Genomic DNA, 27,938 nt, shown 5'->3' on the forward strand with positions numbered 1-27,938 from the left:
GTCAGCCGGAAGCAAGACACGGGCACGCTAGGAAATGTAGTTTACTTTTTCCGAGCGGCGGCGAAGTAAGCCAATGGGAAGCTCCACAATAATATGCAAGGGGGCGGAAGGCGTAAGTGCGTCACGGAGAGCATCTCGGGAATTGTAGTGTGTTTCTGCAAGCCAATGGGATCCGGGGAAACATGATAAGGATGCGGTCGAGGCTGGGAATAGGCTGAGGGAGCTGGAGAGGGTGGGACCACGCAGGAGGCAGATCCAATAAACAGGAAGATTTTTCTCGTGACGTCGTCGGCGCGCGCCGGAAGCGCGGATCACACGGGCCCCTACAAGGGGCCCCTACAAGCGGCCACAAGGATGGCAGGCTTCGCGGAGCTCGGGCTGTCATCGTGGCTCGTGGAACAATGTCGGCAGCTGGGTTTGAAGCAGCCCACGCCCGTGCAGCTCGGCTGCATCCCCGCCATCCTGGAGGGTGAGTATGGCCCAGGGCCTTCCCCAAGAGGCCTCTCCGCTCCTCTCGACTCCTTTCCCTTCTCGCAACCTTTGCTTATTCCGGTCCCACGAGGCGAGGGGCAACCTCGGGCGTTACAGGAGATCCGGGGTTCCGGAGGACGACTGGACAGTGTTGGCATTTAGGTTGCATGACTGACTCGCTTTGTGTTCGTACGCAAGTGATGTAATCTCTGAAATTTTCATAGTCTCAGCACAGGGAGGGTTTGATGGATGACTAGTCCGATAGTATCGCAAAATCCTGCAGACCTGGTACTGCTATCTTTATTTTACAAATAGAAGTTGAGGCTGTCAAAATTGCTGGTAGATCCAGGACTCCTTGGTCCTGTGATTGCTCCTCTAGGAGAAGGTCTTCTCTCTGCTCCTCTAGCCCAACCCAGTTTCGCCATTAAAGAGAGGCCCACAGGAAGCCTAAGATGTGATAAGTCAGGGATTAAATAAACAAATGAAGGGGTCAACAGGGAGCACAAGATGCATATGAGGGAAGGGAATTCTGGATTCCCCAAATTCACGTGCTCCTGGACGGAGTTAGAACGAGGTGGTAGGAAGCTGTGGGCATCTCGGGTCAAATGGATATGGGTTCCAGTCCAGCCTGCCACTCACTGGCAGTGTGTCCTGGGCAAGGTCTCTGAAACCCAGCTGTCCACACATGGAGGGTGTTGATGCTGCTTTGTCCCCAACCCAGGTCGAGACTGCTTGGGCTGTGCTAAGACAGGCAGTGGGAAGACAGCAGCGTTTGTCCTTCCCATCTTGCAGAAGCTGTCTGAGGATCCCTATGGCATCTTCTGCCTCGTCCTGACACCCACCAGGTAAGCCCCCAGCAGGCCTCCTGGGTATGGGTTAACCAGCTGTGCTCTCTTGGGCAAGCACCTTTCCCTCTCTGAGCGCCCTTTTCCCACGTGTGAGATGAGCATGAAAATCTTGCTACCCGCTTCTTAGGGGTCCTGCAGAATTAAACAAGATGGCCCCGGTGCAGTGGCTCACACCTGTAATCCCAGCACTTTGGGAGCTCCAGGTGAGCGGATCACTTGAGGCCAGGAGTTTGAGACCAGCCTGACCAACATGGAGAAACCCCGTCTCTACTAAAAATACAAAAAATTAGCTGGGCATGGTAGCGCATGCCGTAATCCCAGCTACTCGGGAGGCCGAGGCAGGAGAATCGCTTGAACCCAGGAGGCGGAGGTTGCGGTGAGCCAAGATCGTGCCATTGCACTCCAGCCTGGGCAACAAGAGCAAAACTCTGTCTCAAAAAAAAAAAAAAGAAAGAAAGAAAGAGGCAGGCAGCAGAAAGGGTACTGGGACCTGGGCATATTGGAGCCAGTTTGAGAAAGGCCTTGAATGCCAGGCGGAGGGTTAGAATTGATTCTGGGGGTGTGTGAGCAGGAAAGGTCATGAGCCAGGGAGAGGCCAGGACAGAGTTGGTTGGGGGCAGAAAGGAGGCTGATGCTTGAGACCCTCTGGCTGGGGCAACTGGCTGGTGGTGAGGCCATTGCTGAAAGGCGAACTGGGGGAAGGCACAGGTTTGGGATAGGAAGAGATGCTGAGGTCAGCTTGGGTCGGGCTGGTGAAGGAGGGATGTTCCAGGCTGAGCCTGGCGAGGGGGCAGGGGCCACAATGGCCTCCAAGGCTCAGCATCAGAGCCTTTGTGAACAGGACTGGGCAAGTCAGGAGCCTGGGGGCTCAGGGAGGAACCCTGGGGATGGAGAGGGGAATGGGGGGCAGGTCCAGAACCACTACCTGACCCAGCCTGGCCCCTTCACACCCACAGGGAGCTGGCCTACCAGATCGCAGAGCAGTTCCGGGTCCTGGGGAAGCCTCTAGGGCTGAAAGACTGCATCATCGTCGGTGGCATGGGTACGGGAGCTGGGAGGCGGGGGAAGCCCCAGCATGGGACCCTAGCAGCTTTGGACCACCTGCCCAGCCCTGCCTCTCATGCTCTGTCCCCCAGACATGGTGGCCCAGGCGCTGGAGCTCTCTCGGAAACCACACGTGGTCATCGCCACGCCGGGGCGCCTGGCAGATCACCTGCGCAGCTCCAACACTTTTAGTATAAAGAAGATCCGCTTCCTGGTGAGTTCGCCCCGCCCCTGCAGACCTCAGGAGCTGGGCTCGGAGCCTCCAGGCCCAATGTCAGAGCCTGGGGCACCATCTCATCCATTTAGGAAACGTATGTCCGTTAGACTGTCCAGTAAAACGCTAGGAACAGTGACAAGGACCGTTCAAGGACCAACAAGAGGGGGCCCAGTCCTAGCAATGTTATTCGGGGGTAGGGCCTTGCTGAGACTTGGGTGAGGGGCAGGCCTCCCTTGGAAGGAGGGTACTCCAGGGCCTAGGGTCCATGTCCATGCCTCTCAAAGAGGCCTGCTTCAGGGGTGGCCAAGACCCGGGGCCATGGACGGCACCCTCACCCCTGCCCCCATTGGCACGGCAGGTGATGGATGAGGCAGACCGGCTGCTGGAACAGGGCTGCACTGACTTCACCGTGGACCTGGAGGCCATCCTGGCGGCTGTGCCGGCCCGCAGGCAGACACTGCTGTTCAGCGCCACGCTGACCGACACACTCCGGGAGCTGCAGGGTCTGGCCACCAACCAGCCCTTCTTCTGGGAAGCACAGGCCCCGTGAGTCCACAGCCCAGACAGCGTGGGGAGGGCAGCCCCATCCTACAGACAGGGACACTGAGGCGTGGCGGTCTATCTGTCCATCCCCAGGGTGAGCACCGTGGAGCAGCTGGACCAGCGCTACCTGCTGGTGCCTGAGAAGGTCAAGGACGCCTACCTGGTCCACCTGATCCAGCGCTTCCAGGATGAGCACGAGGACTGGTCCATTATCATCTTCACCAACACGTGCAAGTGAGCGGGGCCCGCCTCTCCCCTCCCACCGCCCTTCAAAGGAGGAGGTGGCCCGACGTCTTTGGTCTGGGACACACAGCCAGTCTCAGCACTCCCCAGCCTCTGCTCAGCCTGGAGGTCATGGGGGCTTCCCTCAAGGAGCCAAGGTCCCTCAATCTGAAGGTGCAGCCGGCCTTTGGGGTTCCTCAGCCCAGCCGTTGATGGAAGGGCCAGGAAACCCCTGCAAGCAGCTGTTTGAGCAGCCCATTTGCTGTGTTCTGGGGGTGTCACTGAGCTTTCCTGGGCCTTTAGTCCCATCTCAGAGGAAGTTGTGACAACTAACAGGCCTGGTGTGCGTCTGCACAGACAGAGACCCCTGGGGAGGGCAGTTCATATCTTCATTGAATTGTTTGGGAAGGTCATTGAGAAGCTGGAGGCTCTTCCAGCATGAGCCAGGATAGAAGGGCAGAAATCAAGGCGCTTTAAATGCGTTACCTCCCAGAAGAGAAAAGTTGGGACTGGGTGCAGTGACTCACACCTGTAATCCCAGCACTTTGGGAGGCCGAGGTAGGCGGATCACCTGAGGTCAGGAGTTCGAGACCAGCCTGCCCAACGTGGTGAAACTTCATCTCGACTAAAAATACAAAAATTAGCCAGGCATGGTGGCGAGCACCTGTAGTCCCAGCTACTGGGGAAGGTGAGGCGGGAGAATCACTTGAACCCGGTAGGTGGAGGTTACAGTGAGCCGAGATCACGCCACTGCACTCCATCCTGGGGGACAAAGTGAGACTGTCTCAGGGAAAAAGAGAGAAAAGTTTGGCTGCAGGGTGGCTGTCAGGCGTGGCAGGATCCAGCAGCTTATGTGATGGTCCCCATCCTTTCTCCCTGTGCCCCTCTTTCTCCTCTGTTTTCCTCTGCTGGCTCCTTCTTGGCCTTCTTGGTAACAGTGACCACCCCTAGCAAGTCAGTTTCCAGCCTTCCAGCCCTGCAGTCCCAGGGCCAACTCTTGTCAGTTCCAGCTCCAGGGAGGGATCAGCAGAGAGGACATCAGGCAGGCAAGCCGTCTGTCAACCCTCATCCTGCCTCTTTTTTTTTTTTTTTTTTTTGAGAGTCTCACGCTGTCCCCCAGGCTGGAGTGCAATGGCGCAATCTCGGCTCACTGCAACCTCTGTCTCCTGGGTTCAAACAATTCTCCTGCCTCAGCCTCCTGAGTAGCTGAGGCTACAGTCATACACCATCATGCCCGGCTAATTTTTGTGTTTTTAGTACAGATGGGGTTTTGCCATGTTGGGCAGGCTGGTCTTGAACTCCTGGCCTCAAGTGATCCACCCGCCTCAGTCTCCCAAAGTGCTGGGATTACAGGCATGAGCCACCGTGCCTGGCCTGCTGCCTCTCCTTTCTAAGCTGCATGAGGCCACTGTGCTAGGTGTCTCAGGGGCGGGTGGGGGCAGGAACACCTTCCCAGAACCTGAGAGCTGGAGGGGTTGACAGGCACATCCTTCCCGCCAGGACCTGCCAGATTCTGTGCATGATGCTGCGCAAATTCAGCTTCCCCACCGTGGCTCTGCACTCCATGATGAAGCAGGTGAGGCCACCCTGGGGCCCGCCAGCCTCACCCTGGGATACCTTCCCCGCCTCAGACATTGGCCCCGATCCTTCCTTCTGCCGGGCGCCTTCTTCCTGCCACCTGGTCTCTTCTGGTCCCAGAATATCGCAGCTCAAGAGGCCCTCCCTGACCGCATCTCTTTTAGCCGTCATTCATTTGTCCCGGTCTGACTTCTCATGGCCACCTTCCTCAATGGACGGCTGGGGACTGTCCCGGCCTCCACCCTGTCCCGAGGCCTCACACAGAAAACCCTGCCTTCATGCATTCCCAATTTTCTTCCCAACCCTGTGCAGAAAGAACGCTTTGCCGCCCTAGCCAAGTTCAAGTCCAGCATCTACCGGATCCTGATCGCAACAGACGTGGCCTCCCGGTGAGCAGCCCCCAGTCTCCTGCCAAGGGCACTCCCTCTTTTACTACAAGGCCCCACAGATGAGAAGGCTGGCCTCAGGCATGTCAGGCAGCCCTAGCATCCCTGCTGAGTGACCCTGGGTGAGTCCTTGCCTCGGTTTCCCCACATGGACAGTGGAGCTGACCAGCCACCTCTGCCTCCAGGGGCCTGGACATCCCTACGGTACAGGTGGTCATCAACCACAACACCCCCGGGCTCCCCAAGATCTACATCCACCGAGTCGGCCGGACGGCCCGTGCAGGTGAGCAGTGGAGGGGGAGGCCGAGCCTTGGGCCTCTGTCCCTCCAGCCTGCCCAGCAAATTCAGGTGGTAGGACGTGGGTAGGGTGCAGCCCACAGATGAGAGCTACTCAGGGCCATGTTTGCAAGTTGGGGAGTTGTCCTTTCTAAAGCAAAGGTGAATCCCAGCTACTCGGGAGGCTGAGGCAAGAAGATCACTTGAACCCGGGAGGTTGCGGCAAGCTGAGAATGCACTATTGCACCCCAGCCTGGGCAAAAAGAGCAAAACTCTGTCTCCAAAAAAATAAAATAAAATAGGCCAGGTGCGGTGGCTCACGCCTGTAATCTTAGCACTTTGGGAGGCCGAGGTGGGTGGATCACGAGGTCAGGAGTTCGAGACCAGCCTGGCCAACATAGTGAAACACTGTCTTACTAAAAATACAAAAAAATTAGCCAGGCGTGGTGGAGGGTGCCTGTAATCCCAGCTACTCGGGAGGCTGAGGCAGGAGAATTGCTTGAACCCGGGAAGCGGAGGTTGCAATGAGTGGAGATCGCACAATTGCACTCCAGCCTGAGCAACAGTGTAAGACTCTGTCTCAAAAAATAATAATAAACTAAAATAAGTAAATAAAATAAAATTGTAAAATAAAGCAAATGCAAGTCAGGTGCTGCCTTCACCCAAGCCAGGTGATGAACTGAGCAGTGTGGGGCTGCCCCCTGGGAGGGTGCACACACAGCTCCGGCCCCCACTACTTGCTGCTGCCTCGTCAGGGAGGGGCATGGTGTCCATGAGATGCTGTCAGTTCTGAAGCCAGGAAAGATGTGGTTGCTGGGGTCGGACTGGGCCTGGACCTTCTATCCTGACCCTGTGGTGCTGGGCAGGTCACTTCCACTCCCTAGACCTCACATGGTGGATAATGAGAATGGTGACGTCCTCGTGGGGCTGCCATGAGGGTCACGGACCTTGTCCACCATCAGTGCAGTTTCGGCCCTAGTCAACGTCACAGAAAACAGCAAGCAGAGATCTTGGGCTGAGGCCCGTCAGGGCTAATGGCTGGCATTACTTAGACTGGGTTCCCTGGCAGCCAAGCCAAAAAGGGAAATCGGGCAGTAACTAACTGCTGTGTAAGGCCAGACTGGCAGACCTGCCTCTCCCCAGCGACCCGTCCTCCACACAGTGGTCCTGCTTGGGGTCAAGCCCAGACACTCTGGGCTGATCCCTCCCAAGCCCAAGCCCTTGTTCAGCATCTCCAGGACCCCTGAGCTGTGTAGCTGTCAGGATCTACCTTTATTCGCCCCATGTCCTGACGCCCAGCACATAGCAGATAACCGGCACATCCCCACAGGGCGGCAGGGTCAGGCCATCACGCTGGTGACACAGTACGACATCCACCTGGTGCACGCCATCGAGGAGCAGATCAGTGAGTGGGGTTGGGGTGGGTGGTAGAGAAGGAGGGGTGGGGTGGGCAGAGGTGGGCACCTCGGGGTGAGACCCATTTTCCCGTCAGACACCAGCCGGCCTGCTCCCGTGAGCAGATTTAGGCTGGGGCTTCCTTCCCTAGGCACCCCCAAAAGAAGTTCTTTTGCCCATTTATTGAAACAAACTCCCCATAGTTGTCGCCAGCAGCTGAAAGCCACATCAGTCAGGAGGGGACTTGGGTTTCTTAGACTGAGATGTATGGAAGGTCCCTGAGATGTCAGAGGCCCCATTGACAGGGCCTGGCCTGCTAAAAACCCCTGGGAATGGTTTCATATGCAGCCAAGACAGAGACACTTCCTAAGGTATCTCTGATCACTGCATAGACTGTCCTGAAATTTAGAAACATCTGGACTTGGCCAGGCACAGTGGCTCACACTTGTAATCCTAGCACTTTGAGAGGCCGAGGTGGGCGGATCACTTGAGCCCAGGAGTTCAAGACCAACCTGGGCAACATGGTGAAACCCCGTCTCTACTAAAAATACAAAAATTAGCCAGGTGTGGTGGCGCACGCCTGTAATTGCAGCTACTTGGGAGGGTGAGGCATGAGAATTACTTGAACCCGGGAGGCAAAGGTTGCAGTGAGCCAAGGTCGCGCCATTACGCTCCAGCCTGGGTGACAGTGAGACTCTGTCTCAAAAAAAAAAAAAAAAAAAAAAAGAGAAACATCTGGACTTTAAGGCCGGGCACGGTGGCTCACACCTGTAATCCCAGCACTTTGGGAGGCCAAGGTGGGTGGATCACTTGAGCCCAGGAGTTTGAGATCAGCCTGGGCAATGTGGAGAAACCCTGCCTCTCCAAAAAATATAGAAACTAGCAGCACACGCCCGTAGTTCCAACTACTCAAGAGGCTGAGGTTGGAAGATTGCTTGAGCGGAGGCTACAGTGACCTGATTGAGCCACCACGCTCCAGCATGGGCGACAGAGTAAGACCCTGTCTTCAAAAAAAAAGAAAGAAATATCTGGACTTTAAAGGACACTGTTTGCAAGAAATTAATATTCATGGTTAAACTCATAATGCTGCTAACACCGAAAAAAAATGGCGGGGGGAGGCTGAGGCATGAGAATTACTTGAACCCGGGAGGCGGATGTTGCAGTGAGCCGAGATAGTGCCACTGCACTCCAGCTTGGGTGACCGTGAGACTCTGAAAGACAGCGGTCCATACCTTCCTTACCTCAGAAATCCCTGATCTTGCTCAGCTGACCCTTACCTGATATGGCCCCAGATGGCCTTGCATACCCCACAGCATGGGGAACTCACTACTTGGCTGAACTCCCTCTCCATGTCACGTCTCCTCCCCACCCCCACCCCCGGCTTTGCTGTCCCCACAGAGAAGAAGCTGGAGGAGTTCTCCGTGGAAGAGGCCGAGGTGCTACAGATCCTCACACAGGTCAACGTGGTGCGAAGAGAGTGTGAGATCGTGAGTGTCAGAGGCGGGCAGGAACTAAAGTGCTCTCCAGGGCCGGGGGTGCTCCCTTCCAGGTGGGGCCCCCGTGACCAGCATCTCCTTACCCCACTTCCCTCCACCAGAAACTGGAGGCGGCCCACTTTGACGAAAAGAAGGAGATCAACAAACGGAAGCAGCTGATCCTGGAGGGGAAGGTGAGGGCCGAGCCCGCAGGTAGGGGGTGGGTGGCCAGGTTCCCTGGCGGGGGCCGCCAGCTCAGCCATCCCCTGGTCCTCCCTGTGCCAGGACCCTGACCTGGAGGCCAAGCGCAAGGCTGAGCTGGCCAAGATCAAGCAGAAGAACCGGCGCTTCAAGGAGAAGGTGGAGGAGACGCTGAAGCGACAGAAGGCTGGCAGGGCTGGCCACAAGGGGCGTCCACCCAGGACACCGTCTGGGTCCCACTCAGGCCCAGTCCCCTCCCAGGGCCTGGTCTGAGCCCCACACGGCCATCTGCCCAGTCCTTGACTCGTCCATGGAGCTGAGGGTCGGAGGAACCTTCCTTGGGGGCAGCAGCCCTTCCCGGGGGCCTACCCAGTGCCCCACAGCAGAACCCGTGGGCGCTCGTGTTGTGCGGGCCCTGCTCCTCTGCCCCGAAACCACTGGCTGGTCCCTTCCCTGAGCCCTGGCCAAGATTCAGGCTGCAGGGGAAGAAAGAACATGACCGGGAGGTTGTGACCCCAACCCAAGGTCACCCCCCAGGGGTGCCGCATACAGGAGGTGCTTAATAAACGGGTCTTTTGACTTCCTCAGTCTGACTTTCGAAGAGCAGGGGGACAGGAGAGGTGGGGTGCAGCCGCTGTTGTTTCTCAGGTGTCTGCCCAGAACACCATGTCCATTTCCACCAGGCAGGCCCAAAGTTTTGCAGACACCAGCTGCTCGAATGGCCATGGGATTTTGGGCCCTGAAGCCCCTTCTCTGGGCTTCCAGTTTCCTCATCTGGAGAATGGGCATAGCAACTGCCCTGCTCTCCAGAGGCAGCTGTGAGGCTTTGGTGAGGTCAGTCCTGTGCCGAATGGGTGCAGCTATAAGCTTCCCTGGCCACCCACCTGGCCACATCTGGGGTTTGTGGCCAGAGTGAAGGGGCCATGAAAGTCCAAATTTGGCCAGACAATGTGGGCTAAGCCCAAGGGGACAGGCAGAGAGACACCAGAGCCAGCTTCCTGGCTGTGTGGCCTGGACCCCCCTCGGACTCCAAGCCTCACCCCTCATCTGCAAGCGGCTTATAACTGCTACATGGATTCAGGGGCACCCAAAAAGACGCAGGGAAAGGCGCCGGCGACATGTTAAGTGCCCAGATACCCACATACCACACACACACAGCCACGCTTAGAAATGTAATCGGGGGATCTAGAAATTCTACACAATGAGAAGCTCAAAAACAGCCCCAAAGCTGCCAACAACCAGAGCCGACTGGGGCCCACCCCAGCCCAGCCCGGCCCGGCCCACCCAGGGCTAAGTTGGGACCCCCCAGTCCCTTTCCAGGACGAATGGGCCCAACTATGCCGCCTGCAGCCTGGCCCGCATCCCAGGCCGGAATCGTTCATAGAAAACCAGCCCCGGCTCAGGGCGCAGCCTCAGCCAGGCGGGCCAGGCCCTCACGCAGCTCACTCAGCTCAAACAGGCTGACGTCCAGCAGCTGCGCTGCCCGGCCCACCTCAGCCCGCGCCCGCTCCCGCTCTGCCCGTGCCTCCTCCAGGCTGCGCTCCATCGCCCGCAGCTGGTGCTCCAACTCCGCATTGCGGGTCTCCAGGTCCTGCCAGGAAAGGGTGGGCAGGGTTGGGGGCCCCAACAAATCACCAGTCCTGCCCGAGGCATCCAGAGTCTGACCACCTTCATGTCCCTCTTCTGCCCAGAGCCATCCTAGGGCGCCCAACACACCAGGAATAAAATGCACACCCCACAGGGGCCTAGCTTCTGCCCTCATTTCTTTTGTTTGTTTGTTTGTTTTTGAGAAGGAGTTTCGCTCTTGTCGCCCAGGCTGGAGTGCAATGGCGTGATCTCGGCTCACTACAACCTCCGCCTCCCAGGTTCAAGCAATTCTCCTGCCTCAGCCTCCCAAGTAGCTGGGATTACAGGCATACACCACCACGCCCAGTGATGGCTTACACCTGTAATCCCAGAACTTTGGGAGGCGGAGGCAGGTGGATCCCCTGAGGTCAGGAGTTCAAGACCAGCTTGGCCAACATGGTAAAACTCCATCTCTACTAAAAATACAAAAATTAGCTGGGCATGGTGGTGCACACCTGTAGTCCCAGCTACTCTGGAGGCTGAGGCAGGAGAATCGCTTGAGCTCAGAAGGCGGAGCTTGCAGTGAGCCGAGATCGCGCCACTGCACTCCAGCCTGGGTGACAGAGTGAGACTCCATCTCAAAAAAAAAAAAAAAAGGCTGGGCGCAGTGGTTTACGCCTATAATCCCAGCACTTTGGGAGGCCGAGGCGAGTGGATCATAAGGTCAAGAGATCGAGACTATCCTGGCTAACATGGTGAAACCCCGTCTCTACCAAAAAATACAAAAAATTAGCCGGGCATGGTGGCGAGCACCTGTAGTTCCAGCTACTCGGGAGGCTGAGGCAGGAGAATGGAGTGAACCTGGGAGGCGGAGCTTGCGCCACTGCACTCCAGCCTGGGCAACAGAGTGAGACTCCGTCTCAAAAAAAAAAAAAAGTACCCCCTGAACATTTCTCAGATAAAGCCTTTAGCAAAAGCCAAGCCAAGGCCAGTCGTGGTGACTCAAGCCTATAATCCCAGCACTTTGGGAGGCTGAGGGCAGATTGCTCACGGTCAGGAGTTCGAGACCAGTCTGGCCAACATGAGGAAACCCCATCTCTACTAAAAACACAAAAAATGCCCGGGCACGGTGGCGCATGTCTGTAATCCCAGCACTTTGGGAGGCCGAGGCGGGCAAATCATGAGATCAGGAGTTGAGACCAGCCTGGCCAACATGGTGAAACCCTGTCTCTACTAAAAATACAAAAAATTAGCTGGGTGTAGTGGCGGGCGCCTGTAATCCCAGCTACTCAGGAGGCTGAGGCAGGAGAATTGCTTCAACCCGGGAGGTGGAGGTTGCAGTGAGCTGAGATCGTGCCATTGCACTCCAGCCTGGGCAACAGAGCGAGACTCCATCTCAAAGAATTAAAAAAAAATAAAGCCAAGCCAAGCCAGACCTAGTTCCAATGCAGGCTCTGTGATCTCAGGCTGAGAACAGGAGGAATTGACGGGGTCTGGCATGGGAATACAGCAGGAACTCAAGCATTGCTTGTTGAACCCATAGATGGATATGAAACTGTACCAACAGCCACTGTTCACGCGGCACCTGCTGGGCATCAGGCCTTCCACAGGACTGGGCCTCCCAATACTTTATCATCTTAGGTAGATATTGTCCTGAGTGTCTGTTGAGGTGACTGTCACCCACCGTCACCCCACCTCCTTGTGCCCACACACACCTGCACCTTCTGCTGAGTCTCCTCACGCTCGGCAGCCTCCAGGGCCTCGCGGGGCCCCCCAGTCTGACTCTTCAGGGTCTGAATCTCCTAGAGGAGAAGAGTTCCCAGGGTCTGTTGCGGGGGTCCTGGCTTTCCCACAGGAGGTGAGGGAAGGCGAGGCCCAGGAACCACACTTGGCACTCACCTGGTCCTTGGTTTGCACCAGAGCTTCCAGCTGTTCCAGCGACTGGCCCTGGCCCAGCCCCTCCTTCTCACCGGTGGGGGTCACCTCTGAAGCTGCCTGAGCCTCCAGCTCAGCCACCTGTAGGGCAGGAATAGCAGCCCCTGACGCCCCCGCCTGCACTCTCCCTTGCTCGCCCAACCTCTAGGGAATCTGCCTCCTGTCTGGCCACGCCCAGGACCGAGCACCCATCTCCCTTGGTTGGTGCCACCACCCCCCTCTGCACAGCTTGGACTTTAGTGTCTGATCACCCTCTGAGGCTGGCATTGTCTCAAACCCATTTTACAGAGCAAGAAACTGAGGCTGGGTCAGTGACCTGCTGAGGTCACACAGCTAGTCCATGAACCCAGGGCAGATGGGAACTGCCGAGGCGCGGTCTCCACAGTTGCCCGGGCCAGGTGGGGGTCTCTCGGAGGGAGGGGTGCCCTCACCCGCTGCCGCAGCCGCTCGGCCTCTGCACGCTGAGCCTCCAGCTGCTGCCTCCACTGGGCTGCGGCGGCGTTGGCCTCTCGCAGGGCGCCTGCCAGCTTGTTGTTGCTGTCCTGCAGTGCGAAAAACTCGGCCTCCCACTGTACCTCGCCCACGGAGCTGCAGAGACACGAGGGTCGGCAGTGGGTGACACGGGGCTGGGGGGCGGAGTCGGGCGATGCTGGGCTAGGGGGCGGGGCCAGGGGTGGGATAGCTCTGGGCTTAGGTCAGGGCGAAGGCTGGCGAGGGTGCGGAGTCGTGCGCGAAGTTGGACTAGGGGGCGGGGCAGGGGTGGAGTGGCACTGGGCTGGGGGCGGAGTCAGCGGCAATGCTCGGTTAGGGGGCGGGGCCAGGGTGGGTGGCGCTGGGCTGAGGCGGAGTCACGGGCGATGCTGGGCTAGGGGGCGGGGCCAGAGGAGGGGTGGCTTTGGGCTAGGGCACGGAGTCAGGGCCACGCAGGGCTGGGGATGTGGCGACACTGATTGCTGAGCTTGGGGATGGGGCAGTCCCGCAGAAGCGGGGTCTTGTCGAGGACCGAGTCAAAGAAGGGGGCACGTGGAGTCCGCCCAGTGACACTGTGGGAATGTTGAGGGAGGGATGGGAGGTTGGGGAGAGTCAGCCGATGGGGGCGTGGTCAGGGTGGTTATCCTAAGACCAGAGAGGCATCGACGGGGCGAGGTTAGCAGCGAGAAGAGACAGGGATGGGGTCAAAACAGAGGGGCGTGGCCAACGCAGGGTAGGGGCGGGGTCGGCTCTGGATGGGGCAGCATTCAGATCCTCATCCCCTTCCCCAGGTCTTGAGTCCACAGTTAGATCCCGCCGTCCTGGCACTCCCTTGGCTTCCAAGAACCGCCTCCTCGTCCCCCACCCCTACCCCCGCCCCTGCCACGCCCCCAAGTCCCGCCCCTCACCCCTCAGACAACATCTTCTTTAGCCGCTCGCGCTCTGTGGGGCCGGGGGCATCAGCGCTCTGGCTGCGGAACAGTTTTTCCTCGCCGGGGCCGTTGGCACTGACGAGAGGGCTCGGGGGCACCTAGGCACGGGGAAAAGAATAGGTCACGACCCCACATCAGCTGGGATCAAGGCTGATGTGACTGGGGTCGTCACATCGGGGGTGCAATTGACCTATGCACCCTAAGCAGGTCCTTCACAGCACAGGATCCAAGTGTGTCCCTCCCCACCTCACCCACCCTCCATGGCTCCCTGTGGCCCCTAAGCTGGGAGTTCCATGCCCACGCCCTCGACCTTGCCTTCCTGGGCTTTCACCACCCCCAGGAGCAAGTCTGATGCAGGTTAGTCTAAACCAAGATACTTAGAACCTGTAAGGTAGGGGAGGGGTACAATCGGACACCTCCCTGCTGTTCCCTTCCCTGAGGCCGAACTTCAACATCACGTTTAGGATTTCAGCAGGAAGCCCTGCCCAGGCCGAATTCGTGTTTCGTGAGCAACCCCACTGCCTGGACCACTGGCTCTGAGGGTAGACAAGCTGGCGGGTGCCCTGCGAGAGGCCAGCGCCACCGCAGCCCAGTGCAGGCAGCAGCTGGAGGCTCATGCTTTTTTTCATCTCTCCAACCCCTGTGCACAGCCCTCGGCCTGGTACACAGCAGGTGCTCAATAAATAATGCTGAATAAATTAATGTGGGAAAACACGCAGGGACAGTTCGTTGTTCTGCCTCACACTTAGCCATTTCTTTCTTTCTTTTTTTTTTTGAGACAGAGTCACACTCTGTCACCCAGGCTGGAGTGCAGTGGCACGATCTCGGCTCACTGCAACCTCCATCTCCTGGGTTCAAGCGATTCTCCTGCCTCAGCCTCCCGAGTAGCTGGGACTACAGGCGCATGCCACCACGCCTGGCTAATTTTTGTATTTTTTAGCAGAGGTGGAGTATCACCATGTTGGCCAGGCTGGTCTCGAACTCTTGGCCTCAAGTCATCCTCCCTCCTCAGCCTCCCAAATTGCTGGGATTACAGGCGTGAGCCACCGCACCCGGCCACACTTAGCCATTTCAATTTCTAGTCTTCCATCCTGCCATCTGAGCTGGTTTTGCTACTGGGACCTACTGGGTGTACCCCACCGGCCCCAGGCAAGGTCCAGACCCTCTATGACACACTCCACACCACTCCTCTGTGGTCCCTGCTGTGGGTCTAACCTTAGGTCATCTGGAAGCATTGGGTCTTGACGACCAGCAGAGTGCCCCGGTCTCCCAATATCAAGGTCCCCCAATATCAGTTGAGCGCCTGGCTGACTCACAGGTGCCCAGGCAGGCATAGGGGAGTAGGGAGTGCTGACCTGGTGGGAGGCGAGCCCCAGGGCTGGACTGGTGAGCTCCCCGCCATCCTGAGATTTCTCCCTGGCCAGCCTGGCTGCTTCCTTCACTTCCTGGAACTTCTCGGCAAACTAAGGGAGTGGGGAGGAAAAGACAGTAAAACCCCAGCCCATCCTCCCAAACAGGTCACCATCACTCAGTGACAGCCCCGCCACTTTCGAACCGTACCCATCCCCTTATCACACACCTTGGAAGAAGGAGAGAAACTTTGAAAAATGATGTACCATGGTGGGTGGGCAGGTGGCATCAGATCACAGAGGTGGCATTTAAATACATTGGGCCACATTGAGAAAGGGAAAGGAATTCCCATGTCCTCTTTTTAGGAAAGGGTCTCACTTTGTCACCCAGGCTGCAGTACAGTGGCATGATCTCGGCTCACTGCAGCCTTGACCTCCCTGGCTCAAGTGACCCTTCCACCTTACCCCTCCACCAAGGAGCTGGGACTACAGGTGTGTGCCATCATGCCCGGCTAATTTTTTCTAGAGACGGGGTCTAGCCATGTTCCCCAGAATGGCCCTTTTCCTGTTTTTTGTTTTTTTTTTTTTTGAGATGGAGTCTTGCTCTGTTGCCCAGGCTGGAGTGCAGTGACATGATCTTGGCTCACGGCAGCCTCTGCTTCAGCCTCATGAGTAGCTGGGATTACAGGCATGCACCAGCATGCCTGGCTAATTTTCATATTTTTAGTAGAGATGTGGTTTTACCATGTTGGCCAGGCTGATCTTAAATTCCCGGCTTGAAGTGATCCGCCTGCCTCAGCCTCCCAAAGTGGTGGGATTACAGGCACAGCACCCAGCCTTTTTTTTTTTTTTTTTTGGGGGGGGACAGAATCTCGCTTTGTCACCCTGGCTGGAGTGCAGTGGCACCATCTCAGCTCACTGCAACCTCTGCCTCCCAGGTTCAAGCGAGTCTTCTGCCTCAACCTCCCGAGTAGCTAGGACTACAGGCCCGTGCCACCACGCCCAGCTAATTTTTGTATTTAGTACAGATGGGGTTTCACCATATTGGCCATGCTGGTCTCGAACTCCTGACCCCGTGATCCACCCACCTCGGCCTCCCAAAGTGTGAGAATGACAGGTATGAGCCAACATGTGGGGTCCCTTTTAATCTTTATCAGGGCTATTTCAACAAAGAGAGCCTCAGGTGGGTGCTAATCTGTCTTTAACACCTGTTATTATTCCTTTATAACAAAGAGATTAGGTCTCAGGCTCTGAGAGACATCAGAAGTCAATGAGAAAGTAATCATCTCATTCTTGTTTTTGTTGTATTAAATGTTTACATGTTTACATTTACCACCTATTTATGACAAAGCAATACCAGTTTTCCAGTTAGGATAGGATATGTTTCCCCCCACCACCCCGGTTTTAAAATAAATTTCCTTAGTTTAAAAATAATTTTTTAGGCCGGGTGCGGTGGCTCACACCTGTAATCCCAGCACTTTGGGAGACCAAGGCGGGCGGATCATTTGAGGTCAGGAGTTCGAAACCAGCCTGGCCAACATGGTGAAACCCCATCTCTACTAAAAACACAAAAATTAGCCAGGCATGGTGGTGGGCGCCTGTAATCCTAGTACTTGGGAGGCTGAGGCAGGAGAATTGCTTGAGCCCAGGAGGTGGAGGTTGCAGTGAGCTGAGATTGTGCCATTGCACTCCAGCCTGGGTGACAGAGCAAAACTCTGTCTCAAAATAAATAGATAAGGCCATGTGTGGTGGCTCACGCTTGTAATCCCAGCACTTTGGGAGGCCGAGGCAGGTGGATCATGAGGTCAGGAGTTCAAGAGCAGGCTGACCAACATGGTGAAACCCCATGTCTACTAAAAATACAAAATCAGCCAGGCATGGTGGCACATGACTGTAATCCCAGCTACTTGGGAGGCTGAGGAAGGAGAATTGCTTGAACCGGGGAGGCGGAAGTTGCGGTGAGCCGAGATCGCACCATTGCACTCCAGCCTGGGGGACAAGAGTGAAACTCTGTCTCAAAAAAATAAATAAATAAATAAATAAATAAATGATTTTTTAGGCTGGGTGCAGTGGCTCACACCTGTAATCCCATCACTTTGGGAGCCTGAGGCAGGCGGATTACCTGAAGTCAGGAGTTTGAGACCAGCCTGGCCAACATAGTGAAACCCTGTCTCTGCTAAGAATACAAAAATTAAAAAAACAAAAATTTTGTAAAAATACAAAAATTAGCCAGGTGTGGTGTGTCTGTAATCCCAACTACTTGGGAAGCTGAGGCAGGAGAATTGCTTGAACCTGGAGAGAAGAGGTTGCAGTGAGCCGAGATCGGGCCACTGCACTCCAGCCTGGCAACAGAGCTAGACTCTGTCTCCAAAAAAAAAAAAAAGACCTAAATTAGAAAGGTAAATTGTTGGGGCCGGGCGCGGTGGCTCACACCTGTAATCCCAGCACTTTGGGAGGCCAAGGTGGGTGGATCACGAGGTCAGGAGATCGAGACCATCCTGGCTAACACGGTGAAACCCCCGTCTCTATTAAAAATACAAAAAAAATTAGCAGGGCGTGGTGGCAGGCGCCTGTAGTCCCAGCTACTAGGGAGGCTGAGGCAGAAGAATCAGAAGAATGGTGTGAACCTGGGAGGCAGAGCTTGCAGTGAGCCAAGATCGCGCCACTGCACTCCAGCCTGTGCGACAGAGCGAGACTCCGTCTCAAAAAAAAAAAAAAAAGTAAATTGTCTGGGTGCAGTGGCTCAAGCCTGTAATCCCAGCACTTTAGGAGGCCAAAGTGAGAGGCTCGCTTGAGGCCAGGAGTCAAGAACAGCCTGGACAACATAGTGAGATCCTATCTCTAAAAAAAATAAGATTAAAGATATTAGCTAGGCATGGTGGCATACGCCTATAGTCTCAGCTAGTCAGGAGGCTGAGGTGGGAGGATCCCTTGTGCCCAGGAGTTTGAGGCTGCAGTGAGCCATGATTGCACTGCTTCACTCCAGCCTGGACAGCAGAGCAAGATCTTGTTAAAAAAAAAAAAAAAAAGAAGGGAGGGAGGGAGGGAAAAAAAAAGAAGAAAGGTAAATTCTAAACCTTCTAGAAGAAAACAAAGAAAGCCTGGTGTGGTAGCTCATGCCTGTAATCCCAGCACTTTGGGAGGCCGAGGCAGGTGGATCATCTGAGGTCAGGAGTTCAAGACCACCCTGGCCAACAAAATCCCATCTCCACTAAAAATACAAAAATTAGCTGGGCGAGGTGGTGGGCACCTGTAATCCCAGCTACTCCAGAGGCTGAGGCAGGAGAATCGCTTGAACCCGGGAGGTGGAGGTTGCAGTGAGCCGAGATCGTGCCACTGCACTCCAGCCTGGGGGACAGAGCAAGGCATTATCTCCAAAAAAAAAAAAAAAAAAAGAAGAAGATCTTCGTGAAAGCACTCATCATCAACAAAACCACGGATAAAGATAATAATGGAAGTATAGAGACGGCACAGGGTGCAGGGAGGTGAGGATGAAGGTATTGCTGGGGCATGTGGGAAAGTGCCCAGCCCAGCCCAGCCACCCATTTGATGTCCCAAAGAGGAGCAGGGTGTGTCCAAAATTAGAGCTACAGGCAGTAGAACTAGGACTCAAGAGCAGGTACAGTGGCTCATGCCTGTAATTGCAGCACTTTGGGAGGCCGAGGCAGGCAGATCATTTCAGGTCAGGAGTTCGAGACCAGCCTGGCCAACATGGTGAAACCCTGTCTCTAATAAAATACAAAAAATTAGCTGGGCGTGGTGGCGGACTCCTGTAGTCCCAGCTACTCAGGAGGCTGAGGCAGGAGAATCGCTTGAACCCGGGAGGCGGAGGTTGCGTGAGCCAAGATCACTGCAGCCTATCTCAAAAAAAAAACAGAAAAATGAACTAGGAATCAAACCGGGGAAGCTTAAAGGGGCTTCAGTCTCAACTCATCCTACAATCCCATCCTGCAGATGGGAAGATAGGGGACCTGCCCAAGATCCCAGAGTGAGCCCAGGAGAAGACTTGGGCCCAGTCTCATCGGTTCCCTCCACTCTCCCCCTCACCCGGCCCACCTGTGTCAGATGCTGTTCAGAGGCAAAGCCCAGGCCGTAGACTGTGTTGGCGCGACTGTCGGCCCACTGCCCGAACTTCTGGGAAGTTTTGGTGAAGGTCATGTTGGGAGTGACAGTGCTGTTGATGATGGCCTAGGGTCGGGGAACAAAGTTCAAGGTAGATGGGACAGATACTAACAAACATGAAACCCCCCAGGTATTACCTTGTATTAGGGTCTTGAAGGTCTTTACTCTGAACCCTTTCAGGAGATAGAGACTAGGGCCTGGGAAGGCTTAGGGTTTCCTGTCCCTTGGGCACACAGCAAGCCAGCCACCAGACCCAAGGTTGTCACCAGGACTCCTGGTGCCTCTGCCCCACCCAGACCCCACCCTGACCTTGGCGCCTCCGATGCTGATGATGCGGTACACATTGCGGGTGGCATCGTAGAAATAGGAGACAGTGAGTGCGTGCTTGCCCGCTGGGATCCAGTTTCGCTTGGTGGCTGGGTCAATTTGGAACACGTGCGCCCGTGTGCTGAAGATTGGCTGCTCCCTGCGTGGGGAGAGGGTGTTTGGTGGGGGCCAGGCACCCCCACTTAGAAAGCTCAGGGCCAGGCTGGGGGAGGTGGGAGCTCACCTGGCTGTGGACATTGGTCAGGCTGGGATGGGCAGGCTCTAGGGGGCAGCCAGAGAGGTGGCAGGAGCACTGGTTTGGCCCCTAGGGAGAGAGGAGGGACTATGAGTGTCCCTCAGGCCAGGCTGAGGGAGGCCAAGCAGGTTCCATCTCAGGACCCATCACCAGGTGTGCCCGTCATGGAACTTTCAATCAAAAAGGCAGGAGAGGCCCAAAGTACACCTGGTGCTTTGGGAGGCTGAGTCAGGAGGATCCTTTGAGCCCAGGAGTTCGAGACCATCCTGAGCAACATGGCGAGACCCCATCTCTACCAAAAATTTAAACAATTAGCTGGGTGTGGTGGCATGTGCCTGCCGTCCCAGCTACTGGGGAGGCTGAGGTGGGAGGATCACTTGAGCCCAGGAGGTCAAGGCTGCAGTGCAGTGAGCTATGGTCAGGCCACTGCACTCCAGCCTGGACAAGAGAGTGAGACCCTGTCTCAAAAAAGAAAGAAATTATAAAAAGAAACAAAAAGGTAAGATAATTATTATAGATAACTCAGAGCAAGCAGACCCCATCTTTCTTTGTCTAGGGGAAGCCCCCACAACACCCTGTACAGGAGATGGCCCTCTGAGAGGAGCCTGGTGGCCGCTGACATCCAGATGTAAATTTCTCATTGTCCTGGTTATTGCACCCCCGTGAAGTCCCCTCCATCCCAGGCTGAGCTGTGGAGGCCAAATCTCTGCTGAGTTCTTTCCACCACATTCACCCATGACTGGCCAGAGCGGGGCTCTCCACCAAAAAATGGGGCGTTGAGAGGTGTGTAGTACCAGGAGACCAGTTCCCCACTACACCCTGCAGAGGGACCCCACCCCCAGCAGCTCCCACCCTAGGGCAGAAGCACACCTTGAAGTCCAGAGTCCAAATCCCCAGGGAGCCCCCAGCCAAGTTAAAAAGACAAGATGTAGACAAACAGCCAATCCCAATGCCCACCATGAGGGCAGAGCAGAATCCACACTGGGAGACCAGGGCTCCCCAACCTCCCCATTGGGCCATTCAGCAACCCCGAATCTGCAGGGGACCAAGGAGGAGTTTGGAGGAGGGGGAAGACAGGTGGGGGAGGGGAGGCCCTGGCCCAGCGGCCTCTGTGGTCAAAGGGGGGATGCCCCCCCTATCCTGTCCTGGGCAGCTGCTGTCCTGGTCACAGGGTCTGAAACCGGAGCCCCTGAGTGGGGGTGGGGCGGCAGCTCTGGCCTGGACTGGGGGCGGGTCCTGCGCCGGGTGGGAGTTGGGGAACACAGGGGTCCCCGGAACCCAGGCCCTTCCGGTCCGGCAGCTCCTGCTGCGACTTGCAGCGTTTGGGGAAAGTTACTCACCAACTAGTCATGCGCCTCGGATGCCGCCGGCCACGGGGCTCCCGGAGGGGGGTCCGACACCGCCCGGTGCCCGGGATCCCCAATCTGGCCGGTGGATGAGGCCCCATCCCATGCACCCGAGTGCGGGGGACGGGGGGGTTAATATTAATTCAGGATCCCATCCCCACCCGAGGCAGGACACCCAGTGCACGCCCCAACTCCGGGACGCGGGCTCTGACCCTGGAACTTCCGAGATTCCCGCGACGCCCCCTGTCTCTGGGTCCAGAACTTCGGGGGACACCTCTTCTGCCTCCTCCAACCCCAGGTCGGTAACTCCGGGGACTCCCTTCGTGACTCCTCCTCTAACTGGGTCCGGGACCCCGGTCCTCCGCGTTGTCCTAGACTCCTAAACTTCGAGGACCCCCTGCCACCCCTCCAGTCCCTGGGTCCGGGACGTCCGGACCCCTCCCACCCCAGTACCCCACCCCAGGTCCGCAGCTTTGGGGACCTCTTCGCAGCCTCCTCCAACGCCGGGTCCAGAACTTTGGGAACCTCCCACGCAGTCCCCTCTCAGACCCTGAATCCAGAACTTCGGGACCCCCGCGCTCCCTCCAGCCCTGGAACTTGGGGACCCCTCGCGCCGCTCCCAGTCCCGGGTCCGAAACTTCTGGGGAACCCCCACGCCCTCCCCTTGGCCCTGGGACTTCGAGGCCCCCGCGCTCCCAGCGCAGGCTCGGCAGGCCGGGCTCACCCTGCCAGGTCGGCGCCCCGCGAGTGTCCAGGCGCGAGTCGGGTGCGGCCCCCGCGGCGCTGACTCCGCGCTGCCGGGCGCCCCGCTCGCTCCCTGGCTCCCGGGCCCGCGCCCTCCGCGCCGCCCTCCACGCCGCCCGTGCCTTTGTCTGCGCCGCCGCCGCCCGCGCCGCCTCCGGTCCCATCGCGGCCGGTCCCGACGCGGCCGCCGCCCGCCCCGCCTCCCCGGGCCGCCAAGGCCGCCCCGCTGCGCCCCCTGCCGGCTTTTTGCACTGGGAGAGGGTATGGGGGAGGGGATAAGGGGGAGGGGCGGGGGCCGGGACTGGGGAAGGGACGGAGGATTGAGGGAGGGGGTTAGGGGCGGTGGAGGGGGAGTGGGGGGGGGGGTTGCGTGGGGTCGGGTTGGGAGCAGAGGGTGGGGACAGAGAGACAGACGGAGAGGGACATCTGGGATGAGAAAGAGACCCAGAAACAGAGACACGGGGGAGACAGGCGGAGAGATAGGAAGCAGATGGAGAGAGTTGCACGGACAGCGATGTGACCTCACCCTCCTGTCACCTTCTCAGGAGACAGCTGCCTCTGTCCCCACTACCTGAGGTCATAACTTTGGGCCTGTGAGGGAGGTCAGGTCCCTCCCGGGCTGACATGGGTGGCCCAGTGAGGTTGGGGAGGGGGCAGTGGGTCTCAGGGTCTGCATACAGTAAGTGCTCAATGGGTGTTGCCAGGAAACGGAAGAGATCAACTTCGGGAGGGAACGGGAAGCAAGACAAAGAGAGAGAAGCCTCTGTTCCCCTGCCCGTCCCATCCCTAAGCAGGGACGTCTGTCCACCTCTGTCCCTCCCAAGACGATGGTAAAAATGCCCACAATGGTTGGATTAAGGTTATCTTTGCTGTTGTTTGAGGGTTCCAAAATCCAAAGGCTGAGGAAATGTCTCCAACGCATGGTTGCATCCCCTCAGCCTCCACTGGCCTGCGTTTGTCACCTCTGGTCACAGGGAGCACCCCCTTCCCACACTTGCCAGGAGAGCATCCTTCCGGAGTTGAACTAGGATCCACCTCCCCAGCCCCAAGCCCATGTGTCCCACTTGTCAATCCTGGTGCCGCCCCCTCTCTGGCACCGTCTCCAAAATCACACGGTGCGGCGCCGTTGGTTCGTTTGTGGACAGAGGTCCTGCAGCTCCCTGGAACCAAGGCCTGTGGCGCCCTAAAGCTCTGATCTTACATTTGAGTTTTTCTTTTCTTTTCTTTTCTTTTTTTTGAGACAAAGTCTCACTCTGTTGCCCAGGCTGGAGTGCAGTGGCACAATCTCGGCTTACTGCAGCCTCTGCCTCCCAGATTCAAGCAATTCTCCTGCCTCAGCCTCCCGAGTAGTTGGGACTACAGGTGCATGCCACCACACCTGGCTGATTTTTGTATTTTTAGTAGAGATGGGGTTTCACCATGTTGGCCAGTCTGGTCTCGAACTCCTGACCTCAAGTGATCTGCCCCCCTCGGCTTCCCAAAGTCCTGGGATTACAGACGTGAGCCACCACACCTGGCCGACACTTGAGTGTTTTGACAACTTCAGAGAGGCTTTTGCTTTTCATCTCCAAGACCTCTGCTCCTGTCTCCTTTCCCTGTTCCTTTATTTCTGTTTCCTTCTAAGAAGAATAGTATATCTGAGCTGGCGGTTACATTACATTCAAATTACCTTTAGGTGAATTCCAGGTCAGGTTGTTTTTGGAGATTGACTCCTGCGCCAAGATCTGAGTCTTCCCCCATCCAGGCCTTTGCCCAAACTGTTCCTTCCACCTGGAATGCCCTCGCTGCAGGCATCTCTTCTGCCTTGTCCTTCCAGGCTCAGCGCCACCACCCTGTCTCCTCCTCCAGGAAGCCTCTCTGACTACCCTGGCCTTGGAAGGGATCTTGCCCTCCCCTGTCCCAATCCCTGTGACTCTTTTTTTTTTCTTTTTTAAAGTTTATTTTTAGAGACGAGGTCTCACTATGTTGCCCAGGCTGGTCTCAAACTCCTAAGCTCAAGTGATCCTCCCACCTCGGCCTCCCAAAGTGCTGGGATGACAGGTGTGAGCCCAGACCCTTTCTGTGACTCTTATGTTACCTGTTTATTACATGACCAGGTCTGGGTGCTCCTCTAGGGCTGGCCCATCCATCCTGAAGCCCCAGTCTGACCCAGCACAAGAGCGACTGTTCATCCCACAGGGGAAACTGAGGCACAGACTCGGTTTCCCTGGCTGCTTCTAACTTCACGAGGCATCTGCACAAGGGAAGGATTTGGCTCTGTTCTCAGGCCGGAAGCCACGAAATGCTTGAACATTGTGGGGAGCAAAGAAAATACCGTCTGTTCTGTGCAAAAAATGACTTTTCCTTATTACCAACAAAATAATGGAAAAAATAAAAAAGTATCTGGGAAAGGTGCTGGCATGGCCAAGGCTTCTGGAAGCTGCTTAGAGTTTGCCAAGTGCACAAGTGGGGCCCTGTGGCTATTTTACAGGGGCGGCTGGGCGAGGGGCCCAGGCAGACTTTGCCCTTTGTGTGGGCAGAAAGCAACAGTGAAAGAGACAGTGAAGGGTTGAGTTGCTTTCCTGAACACCCTCTCCGGTCTCTGGGAGGGGCTGGGACAGGGCTGGCCTTGAGCAGCCCCAACCTGAAGCTGGACTAGCCAAGTCTACACTGAGGCACTGGCTTCCTCAGTGTGGGCCTCAGTTTTCTCACCTGGAAAATGGGCCGATGCTTGCAGGGCTTCTAGTAGAGGGAGAAACATGAAGGATTTAGTCAATATCAGCAGCTGTCCTCTGGGGTGCCTGCCATTAGGTTCGTGGGCAAAGGCCCTGCCACTCTTTGCTGCAGCTGGGAAAACAGAGTCTGTGTCTCAGTTTCCCTGCTGGGATGAATAGTCACTCTTATGCTGGGTCAGACTGAGGCTTCAGGATGGATGGGCCAGCCCTAGAGGAGCACCTAGACCTGGTCATATAATAAACAGGTAACATAAGAGTCACAGAAAGGGGCTGGGCTCATGCCTGTCATCCCAGCACTTTGAGAGGCCGAGGCTGGAGGATCGCTTGAGCTCAGGAGTTCGAGACCAGCCTGGGCAACATAGTGAGACCTCGTCTCTAACGAGGGCTGCCCTGAGCTGCTGCCCCCACCCCAGTCTGGGCCCTCTTCTTCCTAGGTCTGGAGGCCTCTCTTCTAAAGAACTGGGCTGGGTGCAGTGGCTCATGCCTGTAATCCTAGCACTTTGAGAGGCTGAGGCAGGCAGATCACCTGAGGTCAGGAGTTTGGGACCAGCCTGGTCAAAACATGGTGAAACCCCGTCTCTACTGAAAATACAAAAATTAGCCGGACGTGATGGTGCACACCTGTAATCCCAGCTACTCGGGAGGCTGAGGCAGGAGAATTGCTTGAACTCAGGAGGCAGAGGTTGCAGTGAACTGAGATCAGGTGACTGTACTCCAGCCTGGGTGACAGAAGGAGACTCTGTCTCAAAAACAAAAACAAAAAAGGGTGGGGGGGAGGGAGGAAGGAAGGAAGGAACAGACTTGAGATGTCCTTGCAGGGCAGGCAGAGGCCACCCCAAGGTGTCTGACTAGGAAAGCAACTTTCCTTTGGGGCTGAAAAATGGTGTGGGAGAATGAGCTTCCCACCTTAAAGGGGAAACCAAGCGGGAGCCTGAACAGCTCATTCAGCACTAAGAAAACTGCATTTGCAGAATGGCTTTTATGGCTCAGGCTCTGGTCTCTGCCTAGTTAGATCTGACCTAGCCTTTGGAGTGAGGCTAAACAGTCTCTCCTCTCCAGAGACTTTCTGTGCCACCAGAGCAGGGACAGTCCACCTGCTCTTCCCGAAAGCTGGGTGCCCACCTCCCAGTGAAGGTCTTGGTGACTACTTCAGGTCTGTTTATTGTTTATGGCATGATTTGGTTACTGTTCACCTCTTACATGGATTTGTCCCTGCACCTAGAACAAGCCTGACCTGTGACAGCTTTCTTTTTTTTTGGAGATGGAGTCTCACTCTGTCGCCAGGCTGGAGTGCAGTGGCACAATCTCGGCTCACTGCAACCTTCAATTCCTGGGTTCAAGCTATTCTTCTGCCTCAGCCTCCCGAGTAGCTGGGATTACAGGCACTCGCCACCACACCCAGCTAATTTTTGTATTTTTTTTTTTAGTAGAGACAGGATTTCACCATGTTGGCCAGGATGGTCTCAATCTCCTGACTTCGTGATCCGCCCGCCTTGGCCTCCCAAAGTGCTGGGATTACAGACGTGAGCCACCGCCCTTGGCCCCTGTGACAGCTTTCTATGAGCACTTTCAGGAGTAGGAGATCCCCAGGTTCCAGCTTTCGACTTGGCTTTCGGAATCACGTGAGCCAGGGAGTGAATCCCAGCCCTGCTGCTTACCAGCAGTGCCACCCTGAAGAAGTCACTTTCCCTTCTTTGTGCCTCAGGTTCCCCATCCATAAAATGGGCATACGAATGGTGTTCACTTCTGAGGTTTACTGTAGGGATCCAATGAGTTCTTTCTTTTTCTTTTCTTTTTTTCTTTTGAGACAGAATCTTGCTCTGTCACCCAGGCTGGAGTGCAGTGGCGCAATCTCGGCTTGCTGCAATCTCTGCCTTCCAGGTTCAAGCAATTCTTCTGCCTCGGCCTCCCTAGTAGCTGGGATTACAGGCGCACGCCACCACAGCCGGCTAAATTTTTGTGTTTTTAGTAGAGACAGGGGTTTCACCATGTTGGCCAGGCTGGTCTCCAACTCCTGGACTCAAGTGATCCACCCGCCTTGGCCTCCCAAACTATTGGGATTACAGATGTGAGCCACCACGCCCACCCTTTTTCTTTCTTTTCTTTTCTTTTCTTTTTTTTTTTTTTTTGAGACAGGGCCTCACTCTGTTGCCCAGGCTGTAGTGCAGTGGCTCAATCATGGCTCACTGCAGCCTCAACTTTCTGGGTTCAAGCAATCCTTCCACCTCAGACTCCTGAGTGGCTGAGACTACAGGTGCACACCACTACGCCTGGCTAATTTTTGTATTTTTTGTAGAGATGGGGTGTCACTATGTTGCCCAGGCTGGTCTCCAACTCCTGGACTCAAGAGATCTGCCTGCCTCAGCCTCTCAAAGGGCTGGGATAACAGATGTAAGCCACTGCATCTGGCCTCCAATGAGTTGTTATGTGAAGAGAACGTGATTGTAGGTGCTTAATAAATGCTTGCTGTTATAAACATCATATTTATTTTTGGTATGTGGTTTTGATCCTGAACCAACCTCTTACTCTTTTCTTTTTCAGAAGTTAGAGGACTCCAACCAGGCCTGAACTCTCAAGGACAGAAATGGGTCCAACCTGGCATGACATCCTCTAAATCTTTAGCTCCTGGCCTCTCAGGTGCCCCCTCCAGCTACCTCCCTCTTCCTTCTCTTCATTCCCCAAGCCATAGCTGGTTGGGCCAACCTCCAGACATTAGCCTCTTTGCAAACTCCTATTCATCCCTCAAAGCCTCACCTTCAATGCTCTCCTCCCCAAGAAGCTCTCTCCTCTACCTCTAGACCTTTTCCAGCCCTCTTCCCTCTTTCTGGCCCAGCCCTGACTCCTGGGAGTGTCTGTGTGCAGCTTTGACTCCCCCAGCCTGAGTGTCTCTCAAGGGCTGAGACCAGGGCCCATGTTTCCCTAGAGTTTGTCATCTTCCAGCATAGTGTGGACGCATGGGGGTCAGGCAAAGGGGGAGTTTGATGACTCAGTACTATTGGTGATTTTGCATCACTTGAAGGAGACCCTGCCTTAAATTCAGAACTTGACTTCTGCCCACGGCTAAAGTTAATTCATTCAACAACCCCCCATGAAGCAATGGAGCCAGGCTCCCTCAGGCCCAGGCAAGAAAGGGTCGTGGAGTTGGGGTCGCCAGCACTGGTTTATGGATTTGAGGACCTAGGACCAGAGTGAGTTGGGGATGGGAGGAGGCAGTGCTTGAGGCCCCTCTGAGCAGCAAACCTGGACCCGAGGTTCAGTTCCCGCAGACCTAATTACCCTAATTTGCCACATGCACTAATTACCTCCTGGGTGCCAGGTGGCTGGGCGGGGCTGCCCCAATTTCCGGAGGTAGGTCGGGGCCCGATTATTTTTGGCTGTGGCGTCCTTGAAGCCTCCGCCATCAGCAGCGCTTGAAGGGCAGAAAGTGGGGCGGAGAAATTGAGGCCACATCAGGGGAGGCACTGCGGGAATTGGGGGTCGGCTGGCCTTGGAGCTCCCTGAACAGGGGGCCTTGGGCCCAAGGCCTGAGAGTCTTTGGCAC

The 27,938-nt window shown here is 56.1% G+C and overlaps 2 protein-coding genes and 1 long non-coding RNA gene across 11 annotated transcripts, besides 5 other annotated features; 2 read left to right on the plus strand and 1 right to left on the minus strand.

Annotated features, from left to right (window-relative positions):
• Window positions 3-602: an enhancer, noted in NCBI's record as "active region_14334". NCBI's record gives its function as "activates an Ori minimal core promoter by ATAC-STARR-seq in GM12878 lymphoblastoid cells {active_cell/tissue: GM12878}" and the evidence as "EXISTENCE:reporter gene assay evidence [ECO:0000049][PMID:35858748]".
• DDX49 (DEAD-box helicase 49) lies at window positions 328-9,243 on the plus strand. 3 transcript variants are annotated; one of them, XM_011528084.4, is made up of 14 exons: window positions 328-469; window positions 1,264-1,316; window positions 1,447-1,522; window positions 2,276-2,361; window positions 2,456-2,577; window positions 2,939-3,126; window positions 3,217-3,357; window positions 4,846-4,921; window positions 5,236-5,312; window positions 5,495-5,592; window positions 6,916-6,990; window positions 8,379-8,467; window positions 8,578-8,649; window positions 8,741-9,243. In XM_011528084.4, exons 4-14 carry the CDS (start codon window positions 2,358-2,360, stop codon window positions 8,927-8,929), a joined length of 1,131 nt encoding a protein of 376 aa, XP_011526386.1. In that variant the 5' UTR covers window positions 328-469; window positions 1,264-1,316; window positions 1,447-1,522; window positions 2,276-2,357; the 3' UTR covers window positions 8,930-9,243. The 3 variants fall into 3 exon arrangements, 2 of the variants coding, with proteins under 2 accessions (XP_011526386.1, NP_061943.2); NR_033677.2 differs by lacking the exon at window positions 1,447-1,522; NM_019070.5 differs by lacking the exon at window positions 1,447-1,522 and having other exon boundaries at window positions 1,193-1,316.
• Window positions 9,814-21,830, minus strand: HOMER3 (homer scaffold protein 3). Of its 6 annotated transcripts, XM_047439733.1 has the most exons (11): window positions 21,664-21,830; window positions 20,934-21,017; window positions 19,582-19,662; window positions 19,341-19,497; window positions 18,966-19,097; window positions 14,916-15,023; window positions 13,537-13,658; window positions 12,589-12,745; window positions 12,122-12,238; window positions 11,938-12,024; window positions 9,816-10,247 (listed from the first exon to the last, which is right to left on the minus strand). In XM_047439733.1, the coding sequence occupies exons 3-11, from the start codon at window positions 19,593-19,595 to the stop codon at window positions 10,056-10,058; spliced, it is 1,086 nt and encodes a 361-aa protein (XP_047295689.1). In that variant the 5' UTR covers window positions 19,596-19,662; window positions 20,934-21,017; window positions 21,664-21,830; the 3' UTR covers window positions 9,816-10,055. The 6 variants fall into 6 exon arrangements, 5 of the variants coding, with proteins under 5 accessions (NP_001139193.1, NP_001139196.1, XP_047295689.1 ...); NM_001145721.1 differs by lacking the exon at window positions 21,664-21,830 and having other exon boundaries at window positions 9,814-10,238; window positions 20,934-20,965; NM_004838.4 differs by lacking the exon at window positions 20,934-21,017.
• Window positions 12,092-12,603: an enhancer, noted in NCBI's record as "H3K27ac-H3K4me1 hESC enhancer chr19:19042288-19042799 (GRCh37/hg19 assembly coordinates)". NCBI's record gives its function as "activates a minimal SCP1, AML or CMV promoter by ChIP-STARR-seq in naive H9 embryonic stem cells {active_cell/tissue: H9 hESC(naive)}" and the evidence as "EXISTENCE:reporter gene assay evidence [ECO:0000049][PMID:30033119]".
• Window positions 12,604-13,114: an enhancer, noted in NCBI's record as "H3K27ac-H3K4me1 hESC enhancer chr19:19042800-19043310 (GRCh37/hg19 assembly coordinates)". NCBI's record gives its function as "activates a minimal SCP1, AML or CMV promoter by ChIP-STARR-seq in naive H9 embryonic stem cells {active_cell/tissue: H9 hESC(naive)}" and the evidence as "EXISTENCE:reporter gene assay evidence [ECO:0000049][PMID:30033119]".
• Window positions 13,801-14,419: an enhancer, noted in NCBI's record as "H3K4me1 hESC enhancer chr19:19043997-19044615 (GRCh37/hg19 assembly coordinates)". NCBI's record gives its function as "activates a minimal SCP1, AML or CMV promoter by ChIP-STARR-seq in naive H9 embryonic stem cells {active_cell/tissue: H9 hESC(naive)}" and the evidence as "EXISTENCE:reporter gene assay evidence [ECO:0000049][PMID:30033119]".
• HOMER3-AS1 (HOMER3 antisense RNA 1) lies at window positions 20,867-27,444 on the plus strand. Of its 2 annotated transcripts, none has more exons than NR_134912.1 (3): window positions 20,867-21,237; window positions 26,694-26,845; window positions 26,939-27,444. It is a non-coding gene; the product is annotated as an HOMER3 antisense RNA 1 (long non-coding RNA). The 2 variants fall into 2 exon arrangements; NR_134913.1 differs by having other exon boundaries at window positions 26,694-26,841.
• Window positions 21,794-21,993: a silencer, noted in NCBI's record as "silent region_10426". NCBI's record gives its function as "represses an Ori minimal core promoter by ATAC-STARR-seq in GM12878 lymphoblastoid cells {active_cell/tissue: GM12878}" and the evidence as "EXISTENCE:reporter gene assay evidence [ECO:0000049][PMID:35858748]".
• Window positions 27,445-27,938: the final 494 nt, after the last annotated feature.

This window comes from Homo sapiens, chromosome 19 (genome assembly GCF_000001405.40).
Source record: "Homo sapiens chromosome 19, GRCh38.p14 Primary Assembly".
NCBI lineage: Eukaryota > Metazoa > Chordata > Mammalia > Primates > Hominidae > Homo > Homo sapiens.

Coding starts and splice junctions, on each gene's coding strand:
- HOMER3 (NM_004838.4), bottom strand. Junction 13,659..14,915: donor TGGGGCTCGCCTCCCACCAG/GTCAGCACTCCC, acceptor CCCCGTGCCTAG/GTGCCCCCGAGCCCTCTCGT. Junction 10,248..11,937: donor AGACTCAGCAGAAGGTGCAG/GTGTGTGTGGGC, acceptor CTTTCCTGGCAG/GACCTGGAGACCCGCAATGC.
- DDX49 (NM_019070.5), top strand. CDS start 355: ATGGCAGGCTTCGCGGAGCTCGGGCTGTCATCGTGGCTCGTGGAACAA. Junction 5,313..5,494: donor GCAACAGACGTGGCCTCCCG/GTGAGCAGCCCC, acceptor CTCTGCCTCCAG/GGGCCTGGACATCCCTACGG. Junction 8,650..8,740: donor AGCTGATCCTGGAGGGGAAG/GTGAGGGCCGAG, acceptor TCCCTGTGCCAG/GACCCTGACCTGGAGGCCAA.